At 38.6% G+C, this 10015-nt stretch overlaps 1 annotated feature.

Moving 5' to 3' along the window:
* Positions 8977-9271: a silencer, noted in NCBI's record as "tiled region #14550; HepG2 Repressive non-DNase unmatched - State 24:Quies". NCBI's record gives its function as "represses a minimal TATA promoter and a strong SV40 promoter by Sharpr-MPRA in HepG2 cells {active_cell/tissue: HepG2}" and the evidence as "EXISTENCE:reporter gene assay evidence [ECO:0000049][PMID:27701403]".

Here is a 10015-nt window from a genome sequence, read left to right on the forward strand (position 1 = left end):
TCAATATTGAATCTAAAAAGTCAAGCACAAAAGATTATATGCTGTATGATTCCTTCATTTAAAATACACAAAAGGCAAATCTCATCTGTGGTGTTACAAGTCAGGAGAGAGTTTATCTTGTAGGAGAGATAAGAGAACTGGAAGGGGCAGGATTGATGTTCCGGGAACTAGTGGTGTTCTGTTTCTCGATGTGGATGCTGGTTACAGGGACGTTTCTTAAGTTTGTGGAGATATATTTTCATATGTTCATAGAGATAGGACAAAAATACCGATCATACACAGCCTTCTCACAACTGTGATAGAGGGAGAAGGCTCTCTCTCTCTATCCTCTTTTTTCTGAGACAGAGTCTCGCTCTGTCACCAGGCTGGAGTGCGGTGGTGAGATCTCAGCTCACTGCAACCTTCGCCTCCCGGGTTCACACCATTCTCCTGCCTCAGACTCCCGAGTAGCTGGGAATACAGGCGCCCGTCACCATGCCCGGCTAATTTTTTGTATTTTTAGTAGAGACAGGGTTTCACTGTGTTAGCCAGGGTGGTCTCAATCTTCTGATCTCGTGATCCGCCCTCCTCGGCCTCCCAAAGTGCTGGGATTACAGGCGTGAGCCACCGCGCCCTGCCCCATGTGTGTACTTTTTAATATAATACTCTACAATAAAATTTCAAAATACATAAATTTTCATTTTGAAAATTTTGAAAAAATAAAGAAGGAATAAAGGGGGAAAATTAAGAAAAAATCACCTGTAATCCTAGGGCTTATAACAACTGCTGTTAACATTTTCACGTAGATGCTTCACACATAATTAAGATCACCCTGTATTAACTATACTGTTTTACAACCTATTTTTTTCATTAAGCAAGCATGTTACAAGCCCTTTCCCATGTCAGTGAATATTTTTCTAAAACATGATTTATGTATATACCATAATTTTCTTAGCCATTTTCTTATATTTTAATAATTATATTTCTATTTTTAATATTTAAATATCACTGTGTGATATTTAAAACCACACAGTGAACTCTTTTGTATGTAAATATATTACTTGTTTTAGTATTTGGCCAAGATAACTTTCTATCAGTCATAATGTTTAAGGATTTTTGTGCACGTTTTTTCAATTTCCTTTTAAGATTTGAGTTCATTTCCCTCAAATCCTTAACAATATTGAGAATGTTTTTCAGATATGCATTTTGTAGGTGAGCATTCTTTCACTTCTACATTTTTGTTTTTTTAATCCTGAGATTGAGCGTTGTTTTATATTATTAGCCATCTCTGCTTCTTTTTTTGGAATGCCTTCTCCTAGTCTTGGCCAGTTTTTTGTTTTTTCCTATTAGAGCATTCCACTTCTCTCAGATTTCTCAGTTTTGCAGTATCCCGTTGTCCAAACTCAATATTTCATTCAGACTAAAAGTTAGACTTTACTTGCTTTATGAACTAAGTTCATTTCTGTCCACTCACGCTTTTGGCATCTGATCCTGTTTGTGTTTCTGGTTTGAGTTTTTAAACTTTCTTCTGGGTTTTAAAAGTTCATTATAACCAAACTTACTACGGACAAAACAGTAATACTTTGTGGTAGAAGATATGAAGATTCACTATAAACTATTCCCAAGTGTAAGGCCATAGGAAAAAAAAAACCTAATTCTCACTACCATTCCCAACAGTCACCATACATATCCATGCTAAATTATAATTACAATTTTTGACCCCAAAGTTGTGGCATCCTAGTTTTAGTAGATTGAGCTCTTTCTGGTTTGTGCCGAGCATCTGGCTTGTAGATGAACTTTGTCATTTCTGTATTTTCTAAAAGCCTGTAAAAACAAACATGCTATTTCCCTCATTGCAGTAATGTCCATTAGAAAACACAAAGCAAACTGTATTTTCAACCAAGCACATGGATTGCCTGCAGTTTCCTCTCATTGGGGTTTGTTCTTCCTCCATCACAGTTGTGAGAAGGCTGTGTGTGATCAGTATTTTTGTCCTATCTCTATGAAAGATGACTTTCACATTCTCCAGTTTGGGCTGGTCACTGATGAAGTCACTGCTGGAAATGGCTCAGCCGTGCTGGGCAGCAGAGGGGGCAGATGTCTTTCTGTTTTATTCTTCATTTTTAATGTGCCCCGTGGCAAGCCTTAGTTCCTTCTCTCTGTTGGTCTTGAACCTTTACCTTTATTCTTCGCTTACTCCCATTGTTTTTTTTTCCTGCTGTCACTTACGGTGGGCTCGGGGAACAATGTTGCAGGAACATAGAGCTTTTGAGGGAAATGTAAATCGCCGGCGACACTGAGTCCCGTCTGTTTTCTCATCGGAAAGCAGCATTTCAGAGAGCTGAACTGGCGACACTGCTTGGCGAAGACACGCCGAGTTCAGGAATATTCCCTGTTCCCAGGCCCTGGTTGTGTCGAAGTGGGACTTTCTGAAGAGGGGGCACTCTGGGAGAGACGGGAGCAAAGGGGCACTTTCAGAAGCAGATGCTCCTGGCTTCGGAAGGAAAGCTGCTCTAATCGGAGTTCAGCCGTCTAGCAGACAATCCACAGCTTTGGAGAGAGACAAACAAAAAAGAGTCTCTTAGTCTAGTGCATAAATGTAAGAGGCTTGTCTTAAGTGTGTGTGCAGGACTCTAGCAGGGCTAAAAATGTTATGCAGAGTTTAAAGTGAGGCATTGTTTAGGTTTTAATGAAGGCAACCAATTTTTAACAACAGAAGTTCTGTTGCTGAATCCCCCTCCCCTTCGCCCTCAACATTCAGTTCCTCTGCCCCTGCACCTGCTTTCATTTTTGGCTTCTTGGCACTGATGTTCACAGAGACATCAGCTGGCAGTGGCAAACCGCTAAAAGCTCCCCTGCAATGCAGCTCTGCAAATGCCAGCCATTTATCCACTGGTGCATGCCAGCTTAACGTAAGGTCTCCCTTTCTCCCTCCAGCCCCAGCCCCCTCGGCCCCCCAGTTTTACTTCCAAATGACAGTAAATGATCCAAAGTGAGCAGTGGTTTGGCCCTTTGAGTATCCATTAAGTGTGGCCACATCTATTTGCTGCATCTATTTGCTGTGATTATAATATTTTGATCCAAAGAGTGTTGCAGAAAATTTAGATGACAATACTATTTCTTCTGTTCAATAAAGAGCTATTGGCCCACAGGCTCATTTCTCTCTCCCCAGCAGATGGTGGGATAGTTTCTTGAGGTCTCTTTGACTTGAAATAGCCTTTTTGTTTTTGTTGCTTATTGAGAGCCAGTTGCCCCAAATTTATTGAATAAAGACATCCACTTTTCAGTTTAAGCTAAGCTCCAATAGATAAATACTGACTTGGAATTGGGGACTGATGGACAAGCTGGAAAGGCAAAGGGGCTGTTGGAAGTTAAGTATTCAGCACAAGGCTTTGCAGTTTCAAAAACGATGCTTTTAAGTTCTCCATTCACCACAACAATTCTGGCTGTATACTGAGAGAGTGTGAGAAATCTGTGAGAAATTCGACATATATTTATTTTTCTTGGAAATTAGAGAATATCTTCACAGTGTACACTCTGAAGGGCTTTTGTTTTGTTTTGTTGTGTTTTTAATGATCTAAACCATCTGGGGAGTTGATAAAGGATGTGATTTTTACAAGCTGAGTTAGCAAAGCCTATTGCTAAATCCCAAACCTTTATCCAGCCTACAGATAAAACCAGGGTGGGAGAGCTTCCCTTCCAGCTCTGAAACACTATGATCCCACGTATGCCAAATGTTTTAGTATCTGGGTGGTAAGAAAAATAGAGAACTGACTAAGGGAGCCTGGCCCAAGGATCCAGAAATGGACATTACTTTTTCTTCTTCTTTTTTTTTTTAAGATTGGTGGAGATCACAAATTTCCAGAAAATGTGTCTGAAAAATAAGCCAGCATCATATTTTATCTGGGGCCTTTATGGTCTTTTTTTATCCAGGGACAGGAATTAGCACTTGCCAGTATTTCTTAGTCATCTACTTCTCAAATCTGGAGTCCAAAACCTGTCTTATAATACTAGACACAGCAGGTTCCCACGTAGAATTACAGAAGTGCTTTAATTGTACCAGTCGTCTTGCAATAACCATGATCTTATACAAGAATGTCTGTGTACTTGGAGTTTATGACAAATGTCCAGTTAGGCTTCTCAGGGTTCACAGTCAGCATTTGGGCCAGCCATGTGAATGAGATAGAAAAATCAGGAAATTCATTCCCAGAAACAGACTGTACACTGCCAGTGTTATTATGTCATGTTTTTAGACTCAACCCTGTCTTTTATTTTTATTTTTTTGAGACACAGTCTTACTCTGTCACGCAGGCTGGAGTGCAGTGGCAAGATCTCAGCTCACTGCAACCTCCACCTCTGAGTTCAAGTGGTTTTCTTGCCTCAGCCTCCCAAGTAGCTGGGATTACAGGCACGAGCCACCACACCTGGCTAATTTTGATTTTGTCTTTTTGTGTGTTTGTTTGTTTTTACTAGAGACAGGGTTTCACCATGTTGGCCAGGCTGGTCTTGAACTCCTGATCTCAGCCTCGACCTCCCAAAGTGCTAGGTCGTGAGCCACTGTGCCCAACCCAACCCTGTCTTTTCTCTGAGTTCATTCTCCTCTTTTCTAGTTATCCACTGTAAGGTACACAAGACTGAACTGAAAGTTACTCCTTTCTATTTGAACACAAGCATGATGCAAGTTATAAGTTGCTCATGGTACCTAACTAGAAGTCTGACACTATTTCCAAGGCTTGTTCATCCATGAATTGCTATTCTCTATGAGACCTGTGTGTTAATAAATCAATATTTAATTAATAGCTATCACATGCTGCTTATATGTTTTTCAAACATAGGTAAATTGTGTCAGAAATGTCATTTTAATACTTCATCTGGCTGGGCGCGGTGGGTCACGTCTGTAATCCCAGTACTTTGGGAGGCCAAGGCGGGTGGATTGCTAGAGCTCAGGAGTTTGAGACCAGACTGGGCAGCATGGCAAGACCTTGTCTCTACCAAAAATGCAAAAAACTTAGCTAGTTATGGTGGCATGCACCTGTAGTCCCAGCTACTTGGGGGGCTGAGGCAGGAGAATGACTTGAGCCTGGGAGGTCAAGGCTGTAGTGAGCCAAGATCGTGCCACTGCACTCCAGCCTGGGTGACAGAGAGACCCTGTCTCAAGAAAAAAACAAAACAAAACAAAAACAACTTAATGTCTAAGATGCTTTTGAAATTAAGGATCCAGCTAAACATTCAGGGGTTTCCCCCTTCTGCTGGATGGAGCCATGTTACATTGAAGAAACCCAGGAAGCTAGAGCTGGAGCTAGAGCTGGGGGTAACTGTTACAAGCATTTCACAAGTAATGCGAAGTCTTCCAAGTAATGTGGAAGACTTTTGGTAATACTGCTGACTTTCACAGTTGTTTGCTTATTTCACAAAGCCAAAGAGCTATATTACCCTGTATTCCTCACTGTAGCTCTGATGTGTTTCCAATACTAGAAGAAGGAGTATAATAGGCGATGGGCCATAGCATAGCATATCAGAACTTCCACACCTAAAATGTCCTTCAAATGATTTTTCAAAGTCCTTTAGCCTCTCTGAAACTTGGGTTTCTCATCTGCAAAATGGGAATGAAATTATATTGACTCTTGCCAATTCACAGGCTTGTTGTAAGGAACAAATTAATCTTTATTAACTTTAGATCACTATACAAATGTTCATTATTATAACTATTATTTGTGTTACTGCTTTGTAAACCACACAAGGCTATATGATTGCCAGTTATAATAATTATTATTTACATTAGAATTGTGTTGGCAATGCCTTACCAAATCTGGCCTTCTTCCTCTTTTCCCTAATTCAGAGTGGCTCCATCCAAACAGTTGAATGAGCTTTGACACCACCCTCTCCCTCATTTCTCATATTTTATCTATCTTAACTTCTATTGATTTTGAACTTCTTCAAGCTGAAGGAATTTAGGGCAACACATTGTATTCAGATCTGATGTGTAGTGGTTCCTAGCTCAACATTGAATAATTGAATACATTTATAAATATTTTATAGGTATTCGTATCCCACTTTAATTCAAAAGAAGGATTTAAGGAAGGTTATATGACACATAAATACAACAAATTAGCATATGAAAGAGGTAGCTGGGAAATACAAAGATAAACTAATGGTAGGTACCTGAAACAGAATCAGGAATAAGATTAATACAAAGTCCTAACATTGAGTCCTTTTTTTAAAATTTATTTTTTATTTCAATAGGTTTTGGGGTAACAGGTGGTGTTTGACTAATTTCTTTAGTGGTGATTTCTGAGATTTTGATGCACCCATCACCCATGCAGTGTACACTATACCCAATGTGTAATCTTTTATCCCTCACCACCCCCCCATGCTTTCCACCGAGTCCCCAAAGTCCATTATATCATTCTTATGCCTTTGTGTCCTCATAGCTTAGCTCCCACTTATGAGTGAGAACATACAATGTTTGGTTTTCCATTCGTGTTACTTCATTTAGAATAATAGTCTCCAATTCAACCCAGGTCGCTATAAATGCCATTATTTAGTTCCTTTTTATGTCTGAGTAGTATTCCATTGTGTGTGTGTGTATGTGTGTGTGTGTATATATATAATTTTCTTCATTCGTTGAGTGATGGGCATTTGGGCTGGTTCCATATTTTTGCAATTGCAAATTGTACTGTTATAAACATGGGTGCAAGTATTTTTTTTGTAAAATGACTTCTTTTTTCCTCTGGGTAGATACCTAGTAGTGGGATTGCTGGATCAAATGGTAGATCTATTTTTAGTTTTTTAAGGAATATTCACATCTACTTTTAGTTCTTTAAAGAATATTCACATTGTCTTCTACAGTGGTTGTACTAGTTTACATTCCCACCAACAGTGTAAAAGTGTTCCCTTTTCACCACATCCATGGGAACATCTGTATTTTTATTTATTTATTTATTTTTTGATTATGGCTATTCTTGCAGGAGTAAGGTGGTATCTCATTTTGGTTTTGATTTGCATTTCCCTGATAATTAATGATGTTGAACATTTTTCCATATGCTTATGGCTATTTGTATATCTGCTTTTGAGAATTGTCTATTCATGTCCTTAGCCCACTTCTTCATGGGATTGTGTGTTTTCTTCTTGCCGATTTGTTTGAGTTATTTATAGATTCTGGATATTAGTCCTTTGTCAAATGTATAGATTGTGAAGATTTTCTCCCACTCTGTGGGTTGTCTGTTAACTCTGCTGATTATTTCTTTTGCTAGGCAGAAGCCTTTAAGTTTAATTAAGTCTCATCTATTTATCTTTGTTTTTGTTACATTTGCTTTTGGGTTCTTGGTCATGAAGTCTTTGCCCAAGCCAGTGCCTAGAAGAGTTTTTCCATTGTTATCTTCTAGAATTTTTATCGTTTCAGGTCTTAGATTTAAGTCTTTGATCCATCTTGAATTGATCTCTGTATAAGGTGAGATATGAGGATCCAGTTTCATGCTCCTACATGTGGCTTGCCAATGATCCCAGCACCATTTGTTGAATAGGTTGTCTTTTCCCCACTTTATGTTTTTGTTTGTTTTGTCAAAGACCAGTTGGCTGTAAGTATTTGGCTTTATTTCTGGGTACTCAATTCTGTTCCATTGGTCTATGTGCATATTTTTATACTAGTACCATGCTGTTTTGTTGATCTTATAGTATAGTTTAAAGTCAGGTAATGTGATGCCCCAGATTTGTTCTTTTTGCTTAGTCTTACTTTGGCTATGCAGGCTCTTTTTTGGTTCCATATAAATTTTAGCATTGTTTTTCTAGTTCTTTGAAGAATGATGGTGGTATTTTGATAGGAATTGCATTGAAATTGTAGATTGCTTTTGGCAGTACGGTCATTTTCAAAATATTGATTCTACCCATCCATGAGCATGGGATGTGTTTCCATTTGTTTGTGTCATCTATGATTTCTTTCAGCAGTGTTTTGTAGTTTTCCTTGTAGAGGTCTTTCACCTCCTTGGTTAGGTATATTCCTAAGTTTTTGTTTCTGTTTTTGCAGCTATTGTAAAAGGGACTGGGTTCTTGGTTTGATTTTCAGCTTGGTTGCTGTTGGTGTATAGCAGAGATACTGATTTGTGTCCATTAATTTTGTGTCCTGAAACTTTGCTGAACTCATTTACTAGTTCTAGGAGCTTTTTGGATGAGTTTTTAGGGTTCTCTAGGTATATGATCATATCAACAGCCAACAGTGACAGTCTGACTTCCTCTTTTCTGACTTGGATGCCCTTGATTTCTTTCTCTTATCTGATTGCTCTGGCTAGGATTTCCAGTAATATGTTGAATAGAAGTGGTGAAAGTGGGCATCCTTGTCTTGTTCCAGTTCTCAGGGGGAATGCTTTCAACTTTTCCCCATTCAATATAATGTTGGCTGTGGGTTTGTCATAAACGGCTTTTATTACCTTAAGTTATGTCCTTTGACATTGAATCCTTACTATGAATGGGTCCGATTGTAACTAGACATTTCAGTAGACTCAAAATTTAGTGGTCATGAGATGGAAGCAAAAAACATTGTCTAAGACAAACACATGTATTCTGAATATAATTACAAGCGAGAAATTTCTGGACAAATCTCCTAAAAAGGACTCAATGAAATGTAATAAATAATATTCCTAATGATATAATTGTAGAAGGTATGTGTAACAGTTTCACAGAGCTGTTTCATTAAATGTTTTTTGTACTTGGTATTAGAGGTATTAAAACATGTAAGATAGACCTTGCTATCAAGGAATCACAAAGAAAGAGAAATCTACATTAGAAAAATCAGTGCCATTCACTAAGATAAGTTGAACAAGAGAAGGAGGTTGCATAGTGCAGTGGGGCACAGAGGAGAAAGTGATCATTCCCACTGAGTGGGCCAAGGATGCCTTCTTGGAAGACAGAGCACCAGATCTCCTGCATTTCTTCGACAATTTTTATCAATTGTCAACTATGTGGTAGGCAAGATGTTAGGTGCTAAAACTATGATGATGAAGAGAACAATGTCTTTGTATTTATAAGTAGACAAGGCCTTTAAGAGCATTTCAGTAAGAAAGACTCTCCCTTGTTTGTGAGTCATTCCCCGCCCCCCAACTGTGAACCTTTAATAACAACAGATCTCTTGCTTGCCACTGCCTTCTGAAAAGGAACATGGAACAATATCAGGAACTGCATGAGATGCTCTAGCCACTGTGCAAAGCTGCCAGAGGCCTTGGGAAAGGAAGTAGATAAGAAATAGGCTTCTAGGAATGCATGGGATGCCTCTACTTTGGACATAGGGAGGAGTGACTGAACCAGGACAAAACAAAGACCTGAATGTTTGGCATCTAGGAAGGCCAGCAGATATTACTGACCTCCAATTGAAATAACATGCTGGGAAATAGACATGAAAGTCATCTTTTTACAGCAAAGAAAAAAGAATATGCAACTCCTTTCCCTTATTTCTGAATAATTGAGATGAGCCAAGTTAATCCTACTGTCAGGGTGGGTATCTTGATTTTTCCAGTGACCAAGCTTCTGAGATACTTCCCACTGGTAGTGAACTGTTAGACCAAAAAAAAGTCAATATTAGTACAAATAACTCTTTGTTATTGCCTGTATAAATAATGCTCTAATATATTTCATTTAATATTTCCATGTGTGATTTTTTTTGCTGTATATAAAAGCAATACTCCTCAATTAGTCAGCATGCCTTGGAGGATAACAGCATATGCTATTTGCAAGGAAGTACTTGGCACTAAGAGGCAGCACAGAAATATTCAGTAGAGATTCCATTAGTCTGATGCTCAAAAAAGGGAGACAAGGTGCACTCATAAAACAATAAAACAACATATTATAATAAGTTACAGTTATATGATAAGTGTTATATGCACAGTATAGAAAATAGCTTATTGACAAAATGAGAGGAAGAAATCACTGGAGCAAGAAGAATCAAGAAAGATTTTATAAAAATTGGGACCTGAAGAGTGGGAAGAATTTAGATGGGAAGGACATCAGGCAGAAGCATTTCAGATCAGAAGAGAAAAGCTTATAAAGG

The sequence above is a fragment of the Homo sapiens genome, chromosome 9 (genome assembly GCF_000001405.40).
Source record: "Homo sapiens chromosome 9, GRCh38.p14 Primary Assembly".
NCBI lineage: Eukaryota > Metazoa > Chordata > Mammalia > Primates > Hominidae > Homo > Homo sapiens.